Raw genomic sequence first — 24,242 nt, forward strand, 5'->3', positions numbered from 1 at the left:
AAATTCTGACACATACAATAACAAAATGAACTTTGAGGACATTGTGCAGAGTGAAATAAACCAGACACAAAAGGACAAATACTGTGTGATTCCATTTATATGGGGTATCTAGAAGAGTCAAATTCAGAAGCAAAGTAAACAGTGGTTCCCACAGGCTGGAGGTGGTGGGGAAAGAGGAGTTAGTGTTTAATGGGTACAGAGCTTCAGTTAGGGAAGATGAAAACGTTTTCTGGAGAGGGATGGGGGTGATGGTTGTGCAATAATTGTAAGGAACTTAAAGTCCTTGAACTGTACACTTAAAGTGCTCACGATGGTGAAATTTAGGTTCTGTATATTTCTATATATTTCTCTATTTCTATTGGGGCACTAGGACCGGCTACATAATTTGAAGGCCTGCCCAGTGCAAAATAAAAATGGAGGAGCCCTTGTTCCAAAATGTTTAAGAATTTCAAGAGGGTGACAGCAGGGCATTAAACTGAATGCAGAGTCCTTTGGAGCACTACCCAGGTCATCCTCCATGAAACCGAGTGCAGAGTCCTTTGGAGCATCCCCCATGAGCACAGGGTCCTTTGGAGCACTACCCAGGTCATCCCTCATGAAGCCAGCCCAGCTGGGAGGTATGTAACAGTTAGTTTTCTGTGTCAACTTACCAGGCTACAGTACCAAGTTATTTAATCAAACACCCATCTCCGTGTTGTTGTGAAGATATTTTGTAGATGTGGTTAACAATCAGTTGACTTTAAGTAAAATAAATTATCCTTGATACTGTGAGTGGATCCTATGAAATCAGTTAAAAGGCCTTAAAATCAAAAATCTAGGTTTTCAGGAGAAGATGAAATTCTGCCTCAAGGCCACAGCACTAACTCAGCCTGAGTTTCCAGTCTTTGGGGCTGCCCTACGGATTTCGGGCTTGCAAGATTATAATCGTGAGCTAATTCCTAGAAATAACTCTCTTAATAGAAATATATATTGGTTCTGTTTCTCTGAAGAACCCTGACTGATACATAAGAAAAGAAATGGATTGGTGAAGTTAATAAAAACAAAAGCACAGCAGGCTTTGAAAATCATCAAGTCCAAATCACCTGGTTGTTCTGCATATGAGGAAACCAAGGCTCAGAGAAGTGATGAAACTTGTCCAGTGTCACACAGCAAGTTAGGAAAGGCGGTGTCTTCACACTTCTCCATCAAAGAGTGCCTGGTAGCCGTGTGTTTTCTATAGCTTATATTTTAATTTCTAAACGTCTATGAATTTTGCATTCTATTCCATTATATAATTGTGTTTTCCATTTTTAAGTAGTGTTTTATTTTCCAAATCGTTTTCCCTAACATTTCTGCTCTAGGAAGGAGTGCCACGCCTGTTCCGCGGACTTCTGACCCCGCACACCAACCCGATGGAAGTAGTGAAGACAGTAGGGACGCACAGCACAGTGACTGAAGCCTGAAACCCTGAGGCTCAGTAAAACTTCAATTCCTAGAAGCCTAAGGCAATCGAATGTTCTCGAAATAGACCTTCCAGAATCAATGCAATTTTCGGTTCAGCTTTTAGATGCGTATAAGATACTCTTTCTTTGCTGTGGGATTTTTCTGGTGCTTGAGATCTTCTTTCCCGAGCGTTCTCCTTGCAGAGATCTTTTGATATGGAGCGGCGTGCACGCAGCCCCTAGGTTGGGCGCTGAGGGGCATCGCTGATGCGATCCACGTGCCTCCCCGTCCTCAGGCCGCTTCCTTTCCTGGTTTCCAGGTCCTCGTTTCTCCCAGCGCTGCCCTCCCCATCTAAGCCCAAGTCGCCGTGAGCCCGCGCTGCCCCCTTGTGGCCAAAGCCCTCCCCAGCTCAGGAAACGGGAACGCTTGGCGGCCAGGCTGAGAGTCGGTGCGCGTGACCCGGCTTCTGCTCGCAGCATCCAAGAAGTTGCAATAACGTGGAAGGATGGGGAACGGCGCCTCCCTGGCTAGCGTGAAACTCAGCCACAGCACAAAATTGAGGCTGTTGGCCGTGAGCGGCTCTCAAAGCTGAATTTGAGGTAAGAAGTCGCCTGCCAACAGGGCATGCGCAAATCTCACCATGTAGAGTGAGTGGCTTTCCGGCAGCTTCTCCCCTCCAGGCGGCCACCTGGCCCCACACTCCTCAGGTGCAGGGCCGAGGAAGGGAGGGGTCCAGCTGAGCTCTGAGCGTCCCAGGGGATACAGCACCTGACCACCACTCAGAAAGCCCCCCCAAAAATACAAAGACAGAGAATTGAAGACAGATGCCACCTCACTTGACTAGTGGGGATTGGGTGGGGATAGCCCAACATCGGCAGAGCCAACCTGGCCACCTACATGGGAGGGTCCCCGGGGTAAGATGTGGCTTTGTGACCTAAGGAAGGCGGGTAGGTCGGGCTGACGGGGGAGAGGGGCCAGTGAAGCCCCCATCCCTAGGGACACAGTTCAGCTGAAGGAATCTCACTCTGGGCCTTCACAGGGTTAGCATCCTGTCGGCCCCTGCGCGGGGCCGGGGGGGCGGGGATTCAGGTGGCCCCTGGTGGCAGCTGTCTTAACCCAGGCGAGGCACACAGGAGGACACCAAGCCCTGGTCTCCAACCTCAACCCTGCACAGCCTGCTAGTCCCACGCTAAAGTGATTGAGGAATGGCACAGAGACGGGAGCGAACCCCCAGGGAGGCACCAGGCGAGTTGCCGGAAAGGAAGAGTTCGCTACAGGACAGACAGGTGGTTTCAAACTGGAAGGGATGTCTCCGAGTCCCCTGCGAGAAAGATCTTATCCTTAGGTCTGCGGTTACTAGTTACGTTACGTTACGTTACGTTACGTTACGTTACGTTACGTTACGTTACGTTACTTTTTGAGAACAAGTCTCACTCTGTTGCCGAGGCTGGAGTGCTTTGGTGTGACCCTGGCTCACTGCAACCTCCGCCTCCCGGATTCAAGCAGTTCTCCTGCCTCAGCCTCCCAAGCAGCCGGGATCACAGGCGCCCGCCACCATGCTCAGCTAACTTTTGTATTTTTAGTACAGACGGGGTTTCACCATGTTGGTCAGTCTGGTCTCGAATTCCTGACCTCAAGTGATCCACCCGCCTCAGCCTCCCAAAGTGCTGAGATTATAGTCGTGAGCCACCGTGCCTGGCCAGGTTTGCGGTTACTAGAATGAGGCAAAAGTTGGGAGCTATTTCCAAAATGGAAGACTGGAAGACAGAAGAATACCTATGAGTACCCTCATCCCAAAGTCCAGGTGGGGCCTTGAGTCAGTAAAAAGGAAGAATTTCAAGGCAGTATCTCAGTAAAGATGCACTAAATATCTGAGCCTGGTATATCTTAGTTTCCACCCTGGTTTTCTTCCCCATATGGCAGGGCTTTTAGAGATTAAGAGAGGTCCAGACATTTCCAGAAAATTCTTTTTTTTTTTTTTTTTGAGACGGAGTCTCACTCTGTCACCCAGGCTGGAGTGCAGTGGCGCGATCTCGGCTCACTGAAAGCTCCGCCTCCCGGGTTCACGCCATTCTCCTGCCTCAGCCTCCTGAGTAGCTGGGACTACAGGCGCCCGCCACCACGCCGGGCTAATTTTTTCTATTTTTAGTAGAGATGGGGTTTCACCGTGGTCTCGATATCCTGACCTCGTGATCCACTCGCCTCGGCCTCCCAAAGTGCTGGGATTACAGGCGTGAGCCACCGTACCCGGCCCATTTCCAGAAAATTCTAAAACAGACTTACTGACATTTTGGGTTAAAATTTTTGACACACACAAAGTGAGATTATATTGTGTTGTGCTCAAGGTAATTGCAGTTAGAGTTTTAAAAACCAATACCACCAGGCATGGTGGTGTGCACCTGTAGCCCCAACTACTAGGGAGGCCGAGGCAGGAGGATCACTTGGGCCCAGGAGTTGGAGGCTGCGGTGAGCTATGATTCCACCACAGCACTCCAGCCTGGACAACAGGGCAATAACTCATCTCTATTTAAAAACAAACAAACAAACAAAAATGCCTCGTGTTCTCTAAGCATGTGGGCTGGTGATGGGCACAGGTTTCAACGTGGAAAACAAACACCTTCCTTTGACAGTGTCAGTGCATCTCTGTGGTTTTATACTCATGTGGTCATTTGTAAATATGTTGAAGTCTTCTTATGAATATGAGGCTGGAGTAAGTGTCCCCCTGTCACCCCCTCCTCATGATGAACCTTAAGGATGGGGCTAGTCTTTATAGGATTGGGCACCTGAGCAGGACTAGGGGTGAAGGTGGGGTCCTGGGAGAATGTCTGGCACCAGCTCAATGTCATGGTCTTTGTTCCTCTGGGTGCTGGTGGCAACAAATGAGGATAGGCAGGTAGTATTGCTGTACCTCTCCCTGTCCCCTTTCCTACCCTGAGGAAGTCCCCACCCTGCCTTGGGCTGGACCAGAGCTAGCTAGTGGCAGCTGTTGGACCTCCAGTGAGCTAGCCCTCAGCGTGGCATTGTGGGGGCCAGGGCAAGAGGAGCTGTCCACACTGTGATGTGGCCCCGGCCAACACTGAGAGATGCCATCATCTAGGAGGATTATGACCAAGGGGCTGGGCTTACAGGTTAACCAGATCAGCGTAGGAGAAGAGCAAACAAAGAGTTCATTATTAACCTTGTAAATGTGTCCCCCAGGCCTGGCCTTCGCTGCTATCACATCGGCTGACTTAGTAATCATTGGTTCTATAATAAACCGTGGAGACCCAAGTCCTCTTTGCATTGTCTCTAGAACTACTGGATACTTCCTGGGTTTGCCACTATCCTATTTTCTAGTGGGGCCCTGTGATCCCCAGAGACAGACCCGTGTTCATTCTTAGCTTCAGCACTTACCAGTGGCACAACTGCAAAAAAGTGGTCCCTGTTATTCCCACAGCCCAGCCTCTCTCGGGGTGACCTCGCCCTGGGATGCGTCATGTCTCAGCCTCACGCTTCATTGTGGATAACAGCTCCTGGAACCGGTTTATTGTGGAGGCTCAGCTCATTTGAAGACACAAACGTGAACCTTTTATTCATTCTAACCAGTGTTCCATCACCTGGTAACATCTCAAGCAGACTCTATTACTTCCAGATAAATCCACAGTTAAAAGAACAAGTGGTTTGCTTGAGAATGTCAGGCATTTTCACATCAAAGCACTTTGCCTCCCACTCTGCTGCCACCTATTCTATACCAGAGCTCTGCTCTGCACACCTGGGTGGCTTCCTGGCTCCCACCCCTTTCCTACTCTGGGCCACTTCACAGTGAGGGATGGGCAACCCTGAAGTCCCTTCAGCAGGCTCCGTGGGCCACAAAGGCTTGGGGTGGCTGCTCCCCCATTCTGGCCTTCCTAGCCCCAAGACACTTATCTGATGCAGGCTATTCTGGGAAGTCTTTGTAATGTGGGGAAAGTAACTCCTGCCTTGGAAATAATTATTGAAACCTAGTGAGATTACATGAAGTAATTGGCCCAAGGCCACTGTTTACAGTTGTACAAGCCATGCACTGCACAACTCCAGCACCGTTTCACCTTGTACCCATGAGAGATTGTATCTTATTACAATTTTCTGGCAGATGACAGTTGAGTGTCAACAGAGGGGCTCAGCAGGGTTGGTGCTGCCTCCCTTTCCAGACAGATGTCAAATCCCTCTCTTCTCAGCACATCAAGCCCTGCTCCCCCTTTGCCACAAGAGTCCTAGAAGCCAGACACTAAGGGCTCAGGGTCCGCAGTCCCCCAGGCAGAATTAGCCTCATCTCATCCCCACACCTTGGTGACATCATGTGCTGACTCAGTCTTCCCAGTGCCTCATGTTGGAACCTCTGTCAGGGATGGAGAGACATCTAAGGACCCCCAACCCCAGGCCACTGTGCAGAGGGGTAAGGAGGTGCAGAGAAGGGGTCTCAGGAAGCTTTAGAGCCAGCTTTAGGATCTGTCTTTCAGGGTGCTAGTATTTAAGAGTGTAAAAAAAAAATCCAAAACACTGGATATAAAGGCCTGGCACGGTGGCTCACGCCTATAATCCCAGCACTTTGGGAGGCTGAGGCAGGCGGATCGCTTGAGGCCAGGAGTTCGAGACCAGCCTGGCCAACATGGTGAAACCCTGTCTCTACTAAAAATACAAAAATTAGCCAGGTGTGGTGGTACGTGCCTGTAGTCCCAGCTACTCAGGAGGCTGAGGCAGGAGAACTGCTTGAACCTTGGAGGTGGAGGTTGTAGTGACCCGAGATTGCACCACTGCACTCCAGCCTGGGCAACAGAGTGAGACTCTGTCTCGGGGGGCGGGGGGGGGGGGAAGCAGCAACCAAAAAACCCACTGAATATAGTGAGTTCCAGAGTCTAGCAACATAACAGTGGAAAAGAAAAAGTAACTTTTGAAACAGTGTGACATTAATGTGACAATGTGACATATACTTTACAATTATGATCACTTAAGCAAATACCTCTGACCCCATAATTCTAATTAATGTATATCATTAAGTGAATCACACTGACTTTACTCTGAATTTCCTTGACAGCCATGCTAAAATACTTACCTTGGACATAAGCTAAGCTTTAAGTTTGTTGTTTATAACTTCAAAGAGAGACAAGGGACAGTGACTTAAGAATATTCTAAGCTATAAATTTACATGTGGACTTTGCTACACACCTGGGATGCAGCCAGATGAGTTTTGTTCCATTGCAGTACATCTGATGACCAGAATTCTATCAGAGAATGTTAATGAACGAAAAGCCTGAGCTTTAAGACTGAGATTGGTACCACGGGTAGTCATGGCCACCTGCTGGCAGCGTAGGGTACTGCAGCCCAGCTATGGTTCAGACTAAAAGCCGAGAAACGCCTGTGGTCCAGGGAAAGGTATGAAGATCATATAAACCGGCGGTGGACAGGAAATGCCACAGTCAAGAAGATGCCCCTGGGATGCTGAGCTCTTACAACTCGAAATCAACAGCTTTTACAAATAAAACCGCTGCAAAAGCAATAGCTCTTACAAATAAAACTGATAATTTGGACTTCTGGGCACCAAATGTTTTCATAACGAAAACATCAATTATGCATTATAATACCAAGTACACCTTACACTTACTGATTCTTCTCCTTAACTTTCAGTGTATTCCTTTAGGAGATTGTCGCACCTTGGTCAGAATACATCGACAGTTTTATAATAGAACAGAAAAGCTTCCATTTGCAGCAATATATTTTAGTTGGCTTGTTGAAACACATCTCTCTTCCTGAAAGCAAGCAATTCTTGAAGTGGATCAACCTTGTCATCATATCCCTTTTATTCTTCACCCTTTTATTCTTCACTGGTATGACAGTCCCTATACCATCTTAGCCACTGCTTTTTTGTTTCTACTTATTTTCCATCCCCCCTGCCTGCCCCCCATAGCAAAATGAAGGCATGCCGGGAAGCAGCAACTCAACATAAAAAGAGGACCCTCCAAGCGATCAGCTCACAAGACAGTTTTATTGAATTAGTTGCATGCAGGAGCAATTCTGTTCTTCCCATGAGCAGCAGAGTCGAGTGTTAGAGTGCAGGATCCAGAGCGGGGAGAGGCTGGGCGGAGTTGGGGGCCTGGAGGCTGGGGCCTGGTTACTTGGTGACGTGCAGAGCTCTCTCTGGGGGGCTGCAGCTCATCTTGGGGGGAGCTGGACTCAGATGCCCCCGTAGGTGCAAAAGCAACATCCACATCTCACTCCTCCCTGAAATAAAAAACAGTTATCCTCCAAAGTAAAACATCCTCCAAAGGAAAAATAAAATTCCCCCGTAACTTCCTGGCTTTGTTCTTGGGCTCTGGCTCCGGGCGGAGTCGTTCCCACCAGGCTATAGAGTCTGCACTTTGTTTGTTTTTTTGTGGCTCCCAGAGACTCACTGGGCCCTGCAGGCCCGCAGGAAAGGCCCGCCTGCTTACCGGTGCTTTTTGCGGTATTCCTGCAGCGCTTTCTCCGCCACGGTCTCCATAAATTTAGGGTTCTTCCTGGAGACTTCTACAGGGACCGTCACAGTGATGGGATCAGAGTCAAAGAGCTTCACGACCACCTCAGTGACACCGGAAGGAACGTCCGAGTCAGAAGTGTGGGAAGCCACCTAAATGGAACAAGAGAAAAGGGAAGAGCTGAAACACTGTGGTCAAAATGCATGCGCTCTGCAACAGAAGTCAGGCTTCTGATAAGGAAGTCCTCCTGCTTCTCCAAGGAAACCTAGAGAGCTGACCCCATGCTTCTTATACATCTAGACGTAAGTACAGCTCAGTGGACAGAACGGACCTGGTTCACAGACACTCATGTGTTGGGGCAAATGTCATCTGCAAATGACCAGCCCAGGGAGCACCCCAAAGAATAAAAGTGGTTTCCAAACATTTGCTTTAGAAGCAGCCCTTGGTCAGAGTAGGGTAGAAAAGGAATCCAGAGGGCCTGGAGGGAAGAAAGAAAAGAAAAAGAAGAGTTCCCAGTACTAGAAATAAGTTTTATTTGATTTTTTAACTTTATTTTATTATTTTATATATATATATTTTTTAAGAGACAGAGTCTCACTCTGTCACCCAGGCTGGAGTGCAGTGGCGTGATCACAGCTCACTGCAGCCTCCACTTCAGGGCTCAGGCAATCCTCCCACCTCAGCCTCCTGAATAGCTGGGACTACAAGTGTGTGCCACCACACCTGACTGATTTTTGTATTTTTTGTAGAGAGGGAATCTTGCTGTGTTGCCCAGGCTGGTCTCAAATTCCTGGCCTCAAGCAATCCTCTTGCCTCTGCCTCCCAAAGTGCTGGGATTACAGGCATGAGCCACCATGTCTGGCCTAGAGAGAAGTTTTTATCACTGGCAGAGAGTGATGTACTAATTCATAAGCCATTTTACATGCCAGAGGGCAGCCTTGTAGCTTTGAGAAAAGAACAGAGGCTTCTGGTTTATTCACAGATTTGTGCACCAAAACAAAAACAACAACAACAAAATACAGGCTTGGCAGCCAGGCAGTCAGGTTCAAATACCCGTCCAAGTCATCTGTCAGCTATCACACCTTGGCCAAGCTGTGGAACCTCTCTTACTTTGCTCCTTTGTAAAGCAGGGTTATATTTTCCCTGAGTGGGTGATGAGGCTTCAAGGCAACAGGGGCGCCTAAAGTTTTCTATTTTCTGCCGTGTGATAAATGCTCAGTCAAAAGCACACATGCCCCTGCTCCCGATCACAGCTCGGGCTCCCGAGCCACAGCATGTGGCCGGGACACAGCTCACCGTGGTGACCCGCAGATAGTACTGGTCTTCGCCTTGCGTGAGGTTTGCCAGCCGGGACACCCAGTTAAACTGCTCGTTCAGCTGCTCCAGCAAGGAGGAGGTGTTGAGCATCTTCCACTGGTAGGACTTTAGCAGCTCGTTGTATTTCCTGGTCAACCTCTCAGCGACCTGGAGGGATTCGTCGAGCTCCCGCCGCAGCTTAGCCTGGGAGGGGTTGTTGGTGGAACAGTCTGCCCAGAGATGGAAGAAACGCAAGTGAGAAGTGTGAAGGGAAGGCTACAAAGGGATAGAACCATGAATGAATGGAAGTTAGCACATGCAGCGGGAACAAAAGCAGTGCTTCCCTAAGGGAAGGGCCACAAACTGGAATTGTCCACGACAAAATAAAGGTTTTGCCTCAGAATGTGAATCTAGACACTGCTTCCGTCATCCAGAAAGTCTTTTGGGTTTTTTGTTTTTGTTTTTGTTTTTTTGAGACAGAGTTTTGCTCTGTTGCCTAGGCTGGAATACAGTGGTGAGATCTCGGCTCACTGCAGCCTTGACTTCCCAGGCTCAGGCTGTCCTCCAACCTCAGCCTCCTGAGTAGCTGGGACTATAGGCACATGCTACCATGCCCAGCTAATTTTTGTATTTTTTGTAGACACGGGGTTTCTCTGTGTTGTCCAGGCTGGTCTCGAACTCCTGGGCTCAACCCATCTGCCCAAAAAGTGCTGGGATTACTGGTGTGAGCCACCACGCCCAGCCTGAGAAGCCTTGCTCTGGAAAAATACGCCAACTGACCTAAACAGTGTGCTTCGTAACATCATTGATTTATCTTTGGGTGCCAGACCCTTATCTCTTTGGTGACAAACTGTGTTGACCACACTTCCAAAAGCACTGATCTCAAGTTCTCCATGTTCTCAGACCTGGAGTGGCTCTCGTTGCCCTAGTCCCTCCCGGGAATCATTTCCAGAGAGGAGGAATATTACTCACAGCTGCCATTCGTGTGGCACTGCCTTCGTCCCAGACACCGCAGAAAGTTCTCTCTGGATATCCTTTTTCTCTAAGAATTGGATCTGTTCTGACTTAAGGATTAGGACTTAAGTCCTAATTTTACCAATAATGAAATAATTTTTACCAATAATGAAACTGAGGCCCACAGAAGTATCAATAAATAGCTTACCTAAAGCCATAGAATAAATGATCTCTGGGCCCGGGATTGAACCAGGGTCTTCAGCTCCTAAGCTTGGGCTTTTCCTACCCTGGATCTGTGGTTCTGGACAATCCTCCAAGCTTGTCTTTTTTTTGAGACAGAATTTCGCTCTTGTTTCCCAGGCTGGAGTGCAATGGCGCGAGCTCAGCTCACTGCAACCTCCACCTCCCGGGTTCAAGCAATTCTCCTGCCTCAGCCTCCAGAGTAGTTGGGATTACAGGTGCCTGCCACCACCCCCGGGTGATTTTTTTGTATTTTTAGGAGAGACAGGGTTTCACCATGTTGGCTAGGCTGGTCTCAAACTCCTGACCTCAGGGGTCCACCCACCTCGGCCTCTCAAGGTGCTGGGATTACAGGTGTGAGCCAATGCACCCGGTCCAAACTTGTCTTTTGAGCATGTCTGTAGAGGTGGCAGTTCTGGTGCCAGGAGTTCATGCAGCTGATGCACTGGCACCTGGTGGCCAGGGGTCCTTGCCTGCCCACCTGCCCGCCCATGGCTGGTCAGTGAGTTCATCAAGAGAGCAGGGAAAAGAGAATTCATTCCTCTTGGCCCTGGGCTGCAGGTTGTCAGATTCATTAAGACCTGGAAACTGTCCACTAGCTCTTAAAACTACTGTTTTTCTCCCCCTAAGGTATTTCAAAAATATCCAGAGGCAGGTACATCAAACGTGAGTCAGGGGAAGGGAGATTTTGCATATGCTTTAGGATGATGACTGCAATCATTTATAGTAAACAAAATGTTAGGTGGGGAAAGAAACAGAATTACTAACAAGATGCCAGTTTGAAAATAAATATGTAATAAATAAACTTCATTATTTTACCAAAAAAAAATTTAAAAATAAGAAAAACTAGCTCACACCTGTAATCCCAGCACTTTGGGAGGCTGAGGCAGGCTGATCACTTGAGGTCAAGAGTTTGAGACCAGCCTGGCCAATATGGTGAAACCCTGTCTCTACTAAAAATATAAAAATTAGCCAGGCGTGGCGGTGCACGCCTGTAATCCCAGCTACTCAGGAGGCTGGGGCAGGAGAATCGCTTGAACCCAGGAAGCAGAGGTTGCAGTGAGCAAAGATTGCGCCACTACGCTCCAGCCTGGGTGATAGAGCGAGACCCTGTCTTAAAAAAATAATAATAAAATAAGAAAAATCCTTGAGAGCTGAGGCTTAGTCTAGAATAGAGGTTCTCTACTGGGGTGACGCTGTCACCCAGGGAGATTTAGCAAGTTCTGAAGCTGGTTGTCACAACAAAGGGAAGGGAGCTGCTGACCTCTAGTGGGCAGAGGCCAGGAATGCTGCCAAACACCCTGAACTGCTCAGGACAGCCCCCAACGACAAAGAATGACCTGGTCCAAAATGTCAGCACTGCTCACACCTGTAATCCCAGCACTCTGGGAGGCTGAGGTAGGAGGATCACTTGAGCCCAGGAGTTAGAGACCAGCTTGGGCAATGTAGCAAGACCCCATCTCTACTAAAAATAAAAAAATTAGCCAAGCATGGTGGAGCACACCTGTAGTCTGTTACTCAGGAGGCTGAGGCAGGAGGATGACTTCAGCCCAAGAGGTCTAGGCTGCAGTGAGCTGTAATGGTGCCACTGCACTCCAGGCTGGGTGATAGAGAGAGACCCTGTCTCAAAAAAAAAAAAAAAAATCAACAGCGCTGAAATTGAGAAATCCTCATCTAGAGTTCCCAGGCAGTACGTGCTTATATGGTTGCAAGCACCTTAAATAACAGTAGGCAGTCCTCTTCAGTGTAGACTATTTAGCTCAGCTTAGAGAATTATTCTTACCAATAATTCTCTAAGAATCTATCTCAGGTCAGGCACAGTGGCTCACACCTGTAATCCCAGAACTTTGGGAGGCCGAGGCGGGCAGATTACTTGAGGTCAGGAGTTCAAGACCAGCCTGGCCAACATAGTGAAATGCTGTCTCTACTAAAAATACAAAAATTAGCTGGGTGTGGTGGTGCACACCTGCACTCCCAGCTACTTGGGAGGCTGAGGCAGGAGAATCACTTGAACCCAGGAGGCGGAGGTCGCAGTGAGCCGAGATAGAGCCACTGTACGCCAGCTATAATCAATGACTGATAAGACTGGCGCTGGCTGCACTCTCAACTGTAATCAATGACTGTTAAGATTGGCGCCAGACCTGAGCCCAGCCTGGGCAACAGAGTAAAAATCAGCATAAGAGGTCCAATCTGGGCACAGGCATCTGGACATCTTTTCTCAGACCCTAACATGACTTTCTTGTGGTGAGGTACCATGTAATTGATGCCACTCTATGATATTTTTTATAGAAAAAGCCCCAAGGCCTGGTTGTGCACTCATCTACAGCAACTTATACTTCAGCCTGTTAAAGCACAACTGTTTATTTTGCAGTGGCTTCTAAAATTATAGGAGTGAGGCTAGGAATGTTTAACTAGACCCTGGCGGCCTGCCATGGCAAACTCAAACTAAGCATTAAGTAAGAGCAAAGCCACCAGATCGATAAGCTGTTGACAAGGGGAAACAATTAACTCTTTGTGAGTATGAACTGCTGTGTACCAGGAACTAGTCCAAATACTGTCACAGCTGTTATCTCTAAGTGGAAAGAAGTTAACCCATAACCAGAGCTGGTGAAACGGAGGGGGACAGTTAAAGGGAAATATTCCCTTTGCCTAGGGGACCAACCAACCGACCAAAGGGACTATTGCTTGGATGCCCAGGTACTGAGACCCGTGACTTCTGTGGCCAGAGGCTGCGAGGGGCCCCAGGAGAGAACACAGCGCCCTAGGATTGAAGCCCAGCTCGCCCATGTCGGGGTCAATCTTGGATAAGTTATTAACCTTTCTGTGGCTCAGTTTCCTCAGAGGGTCATTCTGAGGAAATGAGGAAATGTATGTCGAGTGTTTAGAACAGTGCCTGGCCTCTGGTCAGTTTTGTTAAACAAAACACATACTGTCTGCAATGTCATAATCTGCAGAGGAAAATGAAGATGCCTACTGCGCTTGGCGCTTGGGAACAGAATCACCGGGGAGTCCCAGGGGGATGACTTTTTTCAACAAGCTTTTTTCAACATGGGGCCGACCAGGTGGAGGGCACTTTTGCATCTCTAACGACATCTCACCGACTTCAGGGACAGCCTCGCATCATCATCTCATTCTAAGATGAGGAACCGAAGCTGCATGAGGCTCAGGACCTGCCCCGGGACACAGCTCAAAGGCTGCAGAGCTGGAATCCAAACGCTTATCTGTCTGACTCCATAAAGGCAGCACCAGTGAGGCCCCAGTGACCCCAGGACACAAGGGATCAGGGGGGACGGCTTGTGGTCTGGACCCCGACTCACCCACAGACAAGATCTCCCGGCACTTGTCACACTGGTCCTTCATCCGCAGGCAGCCCGTGGAGTTGTGGCGGATCTCCCGGCACACAGTCCGGTCATCGTCGCCTTCTGGGGACACACGAGGGAAGAAGAGTCAGTCATCCAGCCATGCAGAGATGGACTCCACTGATTCCTATTGTTATTTTTATTTATTTTTTAATTTACAGACAGGGTCTCACTCTGTTGCCCAGGCTGGAATGCAATGGTGCAATCATAGCTCACTGCAGCCTCCAACTTCCAGGCTCAGGTGACTCTCTTGCCTCAGCCTCCCGAGTAGCTGAGACTACAGGTGTGCACCACCACACCCGGCTAATTTTTTAAGTTTTTATTTTTGTAGAGACAGGGTCTCACTATCTTGGCCAGGCTGGTCTCAAACTCCTGGCCTCAAATGATCCTCCCGCCTTGGCCTCTCAAAGTGCTGGCATCACAGGCATGAGCCACCATGCCCAGCTCAGTTTTTTTCCTCTTTAAATAAGGATAATATCACCCTTGTGATATTGCTGGAGAAAAATCGAGATGACACCCGCTGAGCCCTCGGCATGGTTCTCAGCATCTAACGAGTTGCTCAAAAGGCCATGAGCTTCCACCCCTTCTCACCTCGTATGAATTCTGTTGGCGGGTGCTGGAAGGCCGGGCTATGGAAGTGGATGTCCATGGCCTGCTGAGCCTCGTGTATCATCTCAAGGAAGGGCTGGAACATGGCGTGGAAGTTCAGGGGCTCGTACGGAGAGAAGGGCATCAAGCTGCGGACGATGCGGGACTTGGGAAAGAAGAAGTGAGGCCTCCGGTGGGGCAGGCTGAAGGGCAGGTAGTGGTAGGTATCCTGGGGCTCCCGGGTGAAGAACCTGTCCTGGAAGAGCTCGTCTATGATGCTGGACGCGCGGCTGAAGTGGTCCTGCATGACATCCAGCATGTGCGTCTGCTGCCGGTCGTTCTCCAGCAGGGAGTCGATGCGGTCACCATTCATCCAGAAGTAGAAGGGCGAGCTCTGGTTCAGGAACTCCTCAAGCTGGGACAGCCAGCATGGGCACAGTTAGGAGAAGCTCACCAAGGCCACGGCCTCCTGGCCTCCCACCCCCTGGTGAGCCAGGCCAGGCCCTGCCCATGGCTGTAACAGTCACACAGCAAGTGACCAACAGCCCAGCTGGGACCAGCCCCCAGCACCCCATCTGTCAGGTCCATGCTCTTTCCTTTTATCTCCCTCCATGGGGGACAGTTTTGAGACACCTGGGAGGCCCCAAAAGTCACAAGGCCCAACATTTCAGGTTCATTCACTGTCATCTTTGGCCACCAATGATATCCACCCCCGCTCGGCTAAGGGCCAACTGATGTGACTTCAGGGATTGGAGCAATTCACTGAGTCCCAATCAAAAAAGCCCTGCAGCAGAGGACAGGAGCAACACTAATATACTACAAAATCTTACATTGGCTGGGCATAGTGGCACACATCTATAATCCCAACAATTTGGGAGGCCAAGGTAGGAGGATTACTTGAGCTTAGGAGTTTGAGACCAGCCTGGGCAACATGGCCAAACCCCATGTTTACAAAAAAAAAATACAAAAATTAGCTGGGTGTGGTGGTACGTGCCTGTAGTCCCAGCTACTTGGGAGGCTGAGGTGGGAGGATCACCTGAACCCAGGAGGTCGAAGCTGCAGTGAAACATGATCACATCACTGTACTCCAGCCTGGGTGACAGAGTGAGACCCTGTCTCAAAAAAAAAAAAAAATTCTTAAATCCTTCCACATAAGTGGACACAGGGCTCTGCCATCCCACGAAGCAGTTTATTATGTCATCCAGCTAAGCACTGCTGCATGAGTTTTCTAAGAGAAGGCAGATACCTGGCCTACATCCTTTTGATGACTCCACTCTCTCTACTCATGCCAGACATTACCAATGGAGCATGGCACTCTGGGCAAGCCAGCCAATGCTAATCAATTGCATCTGGCATGCGGAATGAAGCATATTTCACTAGGCTCCCCTCCTTCCCCACTCAGAGCCTTGGCCACTCATGTGTCCCCTTTTCACCTGGCGGCCAACCAGGCCTGAGCCACTTCTGCAGACGCGTGCGTAGAACTTCATGCAGGTCTGTTTCAGGCAGGGCTTACACTCTTCCCAGAGGGCCATCATGGTCTCATTGCACACTCCTGGGAGCTCCTTCAGCTTTGTCTCTGATTCCCTGGTCTCATTTAGGGCATCCTACAGGAAGACACAAGGCTGGCTGAGCCACACAGAGACCACAGGCTCATGCACTCAAAGAGCTGCTGGGTGCCAGGCCCTCTGCCCCAGGGCAGGCCTTCCCATAGGCTGGCCACCCAGCATGCAAGTGCCTACCCTTGCTCCAGTTCAAGCTTCCCCTCATTCGCCCACCTGGAATCCCCTTCCCACCTGGCTTAAAGAATCCACTCATCCTTCAAGATCCAACTGTTCCCTAACTCCTAGAAGCTTCCCAACTCCTGGAACCCATGTGGACACCACCTCTCTCTCTGATCACCTACTCAATGACTACCCTCTCACTGAAGCCTCATTTCCTATTCTCTGCTTCTGGTGTTTAAATTTCATCTTCCAAAGCAGGCTGCAGACTCCCTGAATCTTACCTTTCTATTGCAACCATGCCTCCTGGCGTGCAAAGGGAATGGCAGGCATTCAGCACCAAAGCCACACCAGCTATCAAAATTCTCTAACGGGCCCTTGCCACTTGACCCAATAATTCTGTAAGAATCTGTCTCAGGCCAGGTGCGGCAGCTGACACCTGTAATCCCAGCACTTTGGGAGGCCGAGGCAGGCATATTACTTGGGGTCAGGAGTTTGAGACCAGCCTGGCTAACATGGTGAAACTCCATCTCTACTAAAAATACAAAAATTAGCTGGTGTGGTGGTGCACACCTGCACTCCCAGCTACTTGGGATGCTGAGGCAGGAGAATCGCTTGAACCTGGGAGGCGGAGGTTGTAGTGAACCAAGATCAAACCACTGCACTCCAGCCTGGGTGACAGAGCAAGACTCTGTCTCAAAAAAACAAAACAAAACAAAACAAAACAAAACAAAGACTCTATCTCAAAGGAATCCCCTGACAAAGAAAAAGATACTTAAAAATATTTGAAACAGTATTAGCTTATGGCAAAAAAAAAAAAATCAGAACCAACCCAGATGCTTAAAAGAGACAGATTAAACAAACTATGGTTCATATAAAGGGTAGATGGTACATCATTACAAAGGATGTTTATAGTCCATTTTGAATATTATATGTTAAAAATTCATAATTTTAAATATAGCCACTGTCAAAAAAGCATAGAAGAAAATAATAGGAAAAATAGATCAAATGTTAACAGTGACTTGTCCTTGGGCAAAAGGATTATGGAAAAACTTTTCCTTTTCTACTTTTCTATATTAAAGTCTCTATGAATGAGTGTGTTAGTCTTCAAAAAAAAAAAAATAGCCTATCCACACCCCAGAGTTAGGTGAGGTCTTTGTCCTGCTCCATCATCCCCTGTCCCCTGCTGGGCAAGGACAACCCACCTCCCACTGAGCCAAGACACAAGCGCCACCCCTGCTACCTACTTCCTTGCCTTCTGGCTCACCTACTCCTCAACTAAGAAGTAGCAGGCTCTTTTCTCCAAATGTATGTGATGTGCTTTATTATAAAACCAGAATTGTTGAATGTCAAACTCCAGTGATAACCACAAAAATGTGAGAACAAGTCATGCCCCTTCCCCAGGAGCTATTTGAGGATTCTCATAGAATGGTGAGAACTGATACTAAGGCCAAGAAAGGGCATGAAACTTGAAAAAAAGGTAGAGCCACATCCAGGCCAGCAATCCCTGAAGTGGCTCCTATGGAGCTGTGCTCAAAGCGGCCAGGAAAAAAAAACAAAAACAAAAATGAATTCCCTGGTCAGTTTGGAAAACTCTGGGTTTCATGGAGTTACACAGGTTTCTTTACGGCAGAACTTCTCAGAGCCTTTGAAATGCTTTTAACATGCACGATGGATCATGAAGCTTGCAGGTAGCTACATCTTAGCATCTGAAGTAGGGCGACCGTGAGAGGAGGTTTGTAGGATACTCTTAAGGAGACTTGATTTCTTAAATAAGTTGTTCATTGAATTATAGTGTTTTAGTTTTGTTGAATCATTAAGCACAGGCTAGACCTGCTATATCCACTACTGGGCTTAAGATGTTTCTTTATGAAGTAGTCCAGAACTCTAGCAAGACGTGGGGTGCTGTGTGCCTGCCTTAACCCTAACCATATCACCCCTATTAGATAAGCTTCCTGAAGGTTGGACGCCACGCCTGTCTGGGCCCCTGCCGCCACCCCATCCAGAGCCTGCTTGGAACTAGCATGTGATCAGGGCTTAGAAACATCTATTGAAATGAATCTGGGCATTAGGCCCTGGGCCAGGCTCATAACAAAACCAGATCCAAGATCTCACTCCCTGATGCTTTCAGAAGCAAATGAACCTTCCCTGCTTCTTAATTGCAGCCTCAGCATCAGCTGACACAGCCTGGGAGGACTGCGGGTCACCATGGCAACCCAGCAGGGCACCGCGCAGTGACCCCCTCCCTCCCCTCCAGTGGGATGGTCAAGGCAGGGAGGCGGTAGCGGCTCCTCCTGACCTCTTTCTTCTTCTTGGCTTCTTCTAGGTTGCTGAGCAGTGTCTTGCGCTCTTCGTTTGTTTTTTCTATGAGAGTCTTTATCTGTTTCACCCCGTTGACAGCATTTTGAATTTCCTTATTGACGTACTTACTTCCCTGATTGGACATTTCTGCAAGAGAAGTGCAAGAGGCAGAATGAGGCGAGAGGAAGAGGTGGCCTCAGGACCCTGGAATGAGCTGGATGGCCAGAAAGGCCCGTTCAGTTCAGGGGCTGTCAAGGCTGGGACCCCCACTCCTGCCAGCAGGCAGCAGCATGGCCCCAGCCTTGCCCTGGCACAGGCTCCCATCACAGGCTCCTTGCTGACTGCACCCTACTGCTTAGAAATGCAGACCATGGGAGCCGGCACACCCAGAGTTATGCCCAGCCACTGCCATGTGCCCCTGGAGAATGAGCTGGGTGCAGAAGAAACTTGGCAAGGAAAAAAAAAAACCCAGAAGTGTCAGCTTTGCAGCATCAAAATATAAAATATTGTTATTTTGGACACAAATCTTTCTAGAGTTCAGTTTAAACAGATATGTGTATTTCTTTGTTCCAATGCAGTGCCAGGCGACAGGAATAAGAAGATGAGTAAATGAGTAAGGTATAGCACTGGTGACAAATGCAGCGAAACACTGTGTCACCTAAGTGCTACTTCACTGGTGTTTATCCCATGCCAAGCACTGCGCCAAACACTTCATGTGCAGTTTACATAATGCTCCAGCCCCCCGCCGTGCCCACTTCGCAGAGGGAGACATGGGAAGTGTGATATGATAAAGGGTCAAAGTGTTCATCAGGTAGGAGGAGTATGTTCTGGAGGTCTAACATACAGGTGGTGCTTATAGTTAATAACACCATATCATAACTGGAAATTTGCTAAGAAAGTAGATTTTAAGTCTTCCCACCGTCCCACCATAAAAAGTGGTCATCATTTCAATGTATGTGCATTTCAAAACATCACGTCATATACCTTAAATATACACAATTTTTATTTGTTAATTATATCTCAATAAAATGGGGGGTGGGGGGAGTGTCATGAGATCAAGATAGTGGCCCAAAGTCACCCAGCTGAGAAGAGGTGAAACAGACTCACACCCATGTCTGATCTGGGTTTTTAACAATGATCCTGCAGAAACCGTCAGCTCACAGGAGGGATAAGCTCTGGGCACTCCAAAGGGGAGAGGGATAAGAGCTCCGGTGGTCCAGACACAGCTTCGTGGAGGAGGCCTGGGAGCTGGGCTAAGGGGCCTGGGAGGGGAAGAGCTGAATGAAATGCAACAGCCGAAAGTGCTTGGGAAATGCCTGCAAATGCCGGCAGTCTGATGCACGCAGAGCCTGAACCAGGGGCCTCGGAGCTGAGGCTCAGAGTGGGCCCAGACACAGGCACCCAGACCCAGTGCACAAGATAAAAACGGTCTGTAACACTGGGGCCTGATAGAGAGGCACTGAGCAGAATTAGCTACCCTGCCCTCTGACCTCATCACCCTGTGGCCAGAGGAACATCATGCTTGGTCTACTCACCCTGGAGCTCATTGTCTGAGACCGTCTGGTCCCCCAGGACCTGCCCACTCTCCCAGGTCAGCAGCAGCCCCACAAACAGCAGCAGAGTCTTCATCATGCCTCCAATTCTGGAGTCTTTGCACGCCTCTGCAGAGAACAGGAGACCATCATGGGAACAGCTAGACAGCCTGCTGGCGTCCCGCCCACCTGCTGCCTGCAGCAGCTCCCCAGGGCCTCACTGCCCTCAGCTGTCCCCACAGCAGGCACTGCTGCACTTTTATTCCTGAGGAAATGGGGGGAAATGACCAGACTTGCCATGGACACCTCGAATGAAAGCGAAGGCAGGAGGTGCAGGGAGGGAGGGACTGCAGGACAGCAATGTTGAGTGGAAGAAACAAGAACCCTGGCATCGGAGGAACCAGGCTCTTGTCCAAGCCACATCCTCCCCGACAATCAGCGAGGCACACAGGCTTTCTGCATCCTGGCCTCCTTGTCCAGAGTGGTATCGATCATGTCAGACACTGAAAATACCCCCCTTAGGTCATGCATCCGTCCCTCCCCATGCCACCTCCACAGAGGGACTGCATCCCAGAGACCAGCCACGTCCTCTGCAATGTGCACCTAAACCTTCACCCCAGCAGACGCTCCCCATTCACCACAGCGCTGCAGCCCCCAGGGAGTCTCAGCACCACCTGAACTTGACTTTCAAGAGCCGGAGGCAACAGCAGCCAGCCCTTCACACCGAATCCATCTGCATCCCTAGTGGGAGACTTGGGCCGGGCTGCCTGTGCATTCAGGGGTGGAAGTAGTGGAAGCCAGGAAGGACAATTCCCTTCGGAGAGTAGAGAGGGTTCGCAGTGGCCCGAGGAGCAGGCTTCCCAGAGAAAGTCCCTTTGGAAGGATGAGTCCTCTTGCTCTGCCAGGCCCTCCACACTGCCCATCCCCTCTAAGCCGACAGCAGGCTGCCCTGCCAGTGTTCCTGCCACCACTGGGCTGGCTGCCCTGAGCCACGGGGCACAGGCCATAGCCCCGGTCTTACACAATGGACCCTTTCCCAGAAGCTGAGGCTGTTGCATAAAACAGAAACCCCTCCCCCTGCACTCCACCCCCACCATGCCCCTCCCAAGAACTGCTTATCTGAGCTCACCCATTTGCCATCACAGAACCAACAGGACGATGGGGTTCCCCTTCCTGAAATGGTTCACATCCAAAGCCCGCTCAGCCCAGCAGGCCCATCTGGACACTCAGTAGCACATTAACAAGGAGTGCCTCTCATGAGAAGTAATCAGGCGCAAAGAGCCAGGGAGCAGCGTGGGAGAAGAGATGGGGTCAGCGCCTTCCCCAGAGATGGGGTAGGGGGCGGAGACCGGGCTCACCAGGAAGGCTGTGGTCTCACGGGCTCTGCCCCAGCTGCCCACTGAGCCCTGAAATGCCTCCAGCAGGAACAGAGCCTTTGTCATGCCAGAGAGACAAAGCCAGCCAGAAACACCTCTCTGCCAGGGGCCCCTGAAAGCAACAACTTCTGGAAAAACCCATTCAGAACTAGGTTCTGACCAGAAGACAGGGTGCTGGGCCATGAAGAATGGGGCAGCCAAAGGCAAGATACAGGAAAGGAATTCCAGACTCAGCAGCGGGCACAGAGTCTGCTCCAGGGAGCCTGGGGTCCCTGGTGAACCATCCAGCTCAGACCTGGGAAGGAGGTCGTTCTCTCACCCAACCTCTCTACCCTAGCGGTGAGGCTGAAGCCCAGAGAGGGCATGGGACTCCCTAGAGTCCACAGCATGCTCATGGTAACCCTGGGATGAGAGCCCAGCCCTCCCGACCCCTAGTCCAGTATTCTTTCCTTGATTCCAAGTCACTTAAATATCTGAGCCTCAGTTTCTTCATCTGTAAAATGGATCTAATCCAGACCTCAGAGAGGGGAATGTGTTCTGTAAACACGAGGGTCTTATGTAATCATAGTAAATTCTGACTACTTCCAAATTAGACTGAGGTCTGAGGCTGGGCATTGGCAGTGTCTAATCAACATGTCTGGAGAGGGGCAGGAAAACCGAGACAAGCACACAGAGGCCACCTGTGGTCCCCCGGACTGTGTGGCTCTGCTTTGCTGAAATGATTGACCACTTTTTAAAGTACTTATGAATCACTGCAGGGCTGGTTATAATGTTGGTTCTGAGACTGCTTTTCCAGCCAGTCTGCAGGTGATATGGATGCTGCTGATCCAAGGAATGTTCTAGAACCGTGACTGCACAGCCGACCTCCTTTCCTTTGCTCGGACTCACCTCCCCCCTCATCTCCTCTGCCTCCTGGGAGCCTGGCTGCCAGCTGCCCTGGGTGGAAGAGCCATGCCAAGGCCAAGGCCCTCGAGTCCCCAGCACTACCACACAGCCTCATTCTCCCTAAGAAGGCTTAAACCACTTGGCCTTGCTCCTTCTACCAGAAAAGGCCGGTTCTGTGGACAAAGGGGCTGCTCAGGGGAAGAGGAGGAGGAGAAGATGGCGGGGGGTGGGGGGCAGGGGGGGCGGGGGGAGCAGGCAGACTTTGGGAGCAACTCCCCTCCAGGCACACCCTCCTGGGAACTTTGAACTGAGCAGCTTCCCAAAACGTTTCCAAGCAGGGCAGGGCTGGAGGCTTAAGAAAATCAATGACCTGGCAGGGCGCATTGATTCACACCTGTCACCCCAGCACTTTGGGAGGCCAAGACAGGCGGATTACTTGAGATCAGGAGTTCGAGACCAGCCTGGCCAAGGTGGTGAAACCATGTCTCTACTAAAAATACAAAAATTAGCCGGATGTAGCAGCATGCGCCTGTAGTCCCAGCTACTCAGAGGCTGAGGCATGAGAACTGCTTGAACCCGGATGGCGGAGGTTGCAGTGAGCCGAGATGGCGCTACTCTACTCCAGCCTGGGCAACAGAGTGAGACTTGGTCTCAGGAAAAAAAAAAAAAAAGAGAGAAAAGAAAGAAAGAAAATCAATGACTGTGAACAGGGAGCCGTGGGGAGGATGGGAAGACAGTGAAGAGGGCACACAGATGGTGAGGGTTTCAATCCCAAAGCCCCGGCTCCTATCTGCTTCTTCAAATGGAGAAAACTAAACCAAAAGGAAAATAAGAAAAATAATCACCGGTAATTCATATCACCCAGAGGCAAAGGTTAGCACTGTGGTATATTTCCTTCTGTCTTCCATGCAGTTTATACAAGATTCTTCACATTCACCATCTTCAAATATTCTTTAAGGGCATACTTTTATGGCTATGTAATACTCCACTTACTCACGGACCTAAGTTTATTTTACCATTCTCACAAGATTGGCCATTTCAGTTGTGCCCAATGCTCCACTATTATTATAACTTAACATTTTCATGGGCATCTTTTTTTATATAGTATCTGTACTTTCCTTTAAATTCCTAACCTCTCCGTTTAAAAAATAATAATAAAAATCATATTTTTTTTAACTAGGTCCAGAAATTCTGGAAGGTCAAGAGGCTTTGGCTCGAATCCCAATTCTGATACTTATTTGCTGTTTAGTGTTGGCACCAGTCCTAAACCTCTCCAGGCCTCAGATTATCATCTGTAAAATGAGACTGTGGAATCAGAGGTCTGAGGCCTGGTGGATCTTGTGTGACTTTTCTCTGATGCACCTCAGATGCATTAGGAGGCAGAAAAAGTCGGATTTCGGTGGTTGCAGCATATACTGAAATCCGCAGCCTCATACTTACAGGCAACAGTGTCCAGAGAGCTAGAGAATTTAGAAGAAAACTAGATGACTCATGCATGCAAGCCGAAAGCCACAACTGAGAGATCCGCATCTTCGCAGAGGATATGCTGCAGGAAGGAGCTCGGTGCAGGCCAGCTCTGTCACCTGCTAGCCTGGGTCTCCCGCAACGCGGCAGGTCTCCAGGTCTCAGTTTCCCCATCTTTGCGAAAGGATGATCATTATATCTGTTCTATTTACCCCCCCACCACAGAATTGTGGTTGGAGCTCGTGCTCTCAGGCGGCGGTTGCGCCGGGGCCCCTGGCTCAGCTGCCTGGTGATGGGGCTCCGGCCACCTCCCCTCCCTGGCTTCCTGGGCTCCGTCGAAAGCGCAGGGGTTGTGACTGCGAGCTGTGTCATCCCTCTCTGCCTGGCTGCCATCCCCTGCCCGCCCATCCGTCCTGGTGTGGCTCTGCTCAAGGGTAGGGAAGACGGGGACATCTCACCGGTCAGCGGCACCCTGTGCCCGCGCGCTCCTCCTGGCGACGCCGCGTTGTGGGCACTGGGAGGCGCCGTATTTATAGCGCTCTGCTCGCGCACACACCCCCTTTGGGGCTGGCTGCAAACCTGCATGACTCACGCCCAAAGAATGCCGCGGAAAGCAAGGGGAGCTTTCTGGAAGCCG

The 24,242-nt window shown here is 49.8% G+C and overlaps 1 protein-coding gene, 1 long non-coding RNA gene and 1 other non-coding gene across 5 annotated transcripts, besides 5 other annotated features; 1 reads left to right on the forward strand and 2 right to left on the reverse strand.

Moving 5' to 3' along the window:
• The first annotated feature begins 624 nt into the window (after positions 1-624).
• Positions 625-6,968, forward strand: LOC124901919 (uncharacterized). The gene is made up of 2 exons (XR_007060868.1): positions 625-2,021; positions 6,476-6,968. It is a non-coding gene; the product is annotated as an uncharacterized LOC124901919 (long non-coding RNA).
• Positions 2,299-2,799: an enhancer, noted in NCBI's record as "H3K4me1 hESC enhancer chr8:27450407-27450907 (GRCh37/hg19 assembly coordinates)". NCBI's record gives its function as "activates a minimal SCP1, AML or CMV promoter by ChIP-STARR-seq in primed H9 embryonic stem cells {active_cell/tissue: H9 hESC(primed)}" and the evidence as "EXISTENCE:reporter gene assay evidence [ECO:0000049][PMID:30033119]".
• CLU (clusterin) lies at positions 6,326-24,109 on the reverse strand. Of its 3 annotated transcripts, none has more exons than NR_045494.1 (9): positions 21,010-21,160; positions 19,884-20,009; positions 18,347-18,495; positions 15,763-15,933; positions 14,333-14,744; positions 13,700-13,804; positions 9,189-9,418; positions 7,869-8,044; positions 6,326-7,659 (listed from the first exon to the last, which is right to left on the reverse strand). NR_045494.1 is itself a non-coding variant. In NM_001831.4 (9 exons), the coding sequence occupies exons 2-9, from the start codon at positions 19,978-19,980 to the stop codon at positions 7,650-7,652; spliced, it is 1,350 nt and encodes a 449-aa protein (NP_001822.3). In that variant the 5' UTR covers positions 19,981-20,009; positions 24,064-24,109; the 3' UTR covers positions 6,326-7,649. The 3 variants fall into 3 exon arrangements, 1 of the variants encoding a protein (NP_001822.3); NR_038335.2 differs by lacking the exon at positions 21,010-21,160 and adding an exon at positions 20,555-20,780; NM_001831.4 differs by lacking the exon at positions 21,010-21,160 and adding an exon at positions 24,064-24,109.
• Positions 18,438-19,144: an enhancer, noted in NCBI's record as "H3K27ac-H3K4me1 hESC enhancer chr8:27466546-27467252 (GRCh37/hg19 assembly coordinates)". NCBI's record gives its function as "activates a minimal SCP1, AML or CMV promoter by ChIP-STARR-seq in naive H9 embryonic stem cells {active_cell/tissue: H9 hESC(naive)}" and the evidence as "EXISTENCE:reporter gene assay evidence [ECO:0000049][PMID:30033119]".
• Positions 19,851-20,558: an enhancer, noted in NCBI's record as "H3K27ac-H3K4me1 hESC enhancer chr8:27467959-27468666 (GRCh37/hg19 assembly coordinates)". NCBI's record gives its function as "activates a minimal SCP1, AML or CMV promoter by ChIP-STARR-seq in naive H9 embryonic stem cells {active_cell/tissue: H9 hESC(naive)}" and the evidence as "EXISTENCE:reporter gene assay evidence [ECO:0000049][PMID:30033119]".
• On the reverse strand, positions 20,010-20,160 carry MIR6843 (microRNA 6843). Its single transcript, NR_106902.1, has one exon. It is a non-coding gene; the product is annotated as a microRNA 6843 (primary transcript).
• Positions 22,522-22,707: a silencer, noted in NCBI's record as "fragment chr8:27470630-27470815 (GRCh37/hg19 assembly coordinates)". NCBI's record gives its function as "represses an EF-1alpha promoter that drives an FKBP-Casp9 reporter gene in an ReSE screen in phorbol 12-myristate 13-acetate-treated (for megakaryocytic differentiation) K562 erythroleukemia cells {active_cell/tissue: K562(+PMA)}" and the evidence as "EXISTENCE:reporter gene assay evidence [ECO:0000049][PMID:32094911]".
• Positions 23,741-24,240: an enhancer, noted in NCBI's record as "H3K27ac hESC enhancer chr8:27471849-27472348 (GRCh37/hg19 assembly coordinates)". NCBI's record gives its function as "activates a minimal SCP1, AML or CMV promoter by ChIP-STARR-seq in primed H9 embryonic stem cells {active_cell/tissue: H9 hESC(primed)}" and the evidence as "EXISTENCE:reporter gene assay evidence [ECO:0000049][PMID:30033119]".

This window comes from Homo sapiens, chromosome 8 (genome assembly GCF_000001405.40).
Source record: "Homo sapiens chromosome 8, GRCh38.p14 Primary Assembly".
Taxonomy (NCBI): Eukaryota; Metazoa; Chordata; class Mammalia; order Primates; family Hominidae; genus Homo; species Homo sapiens.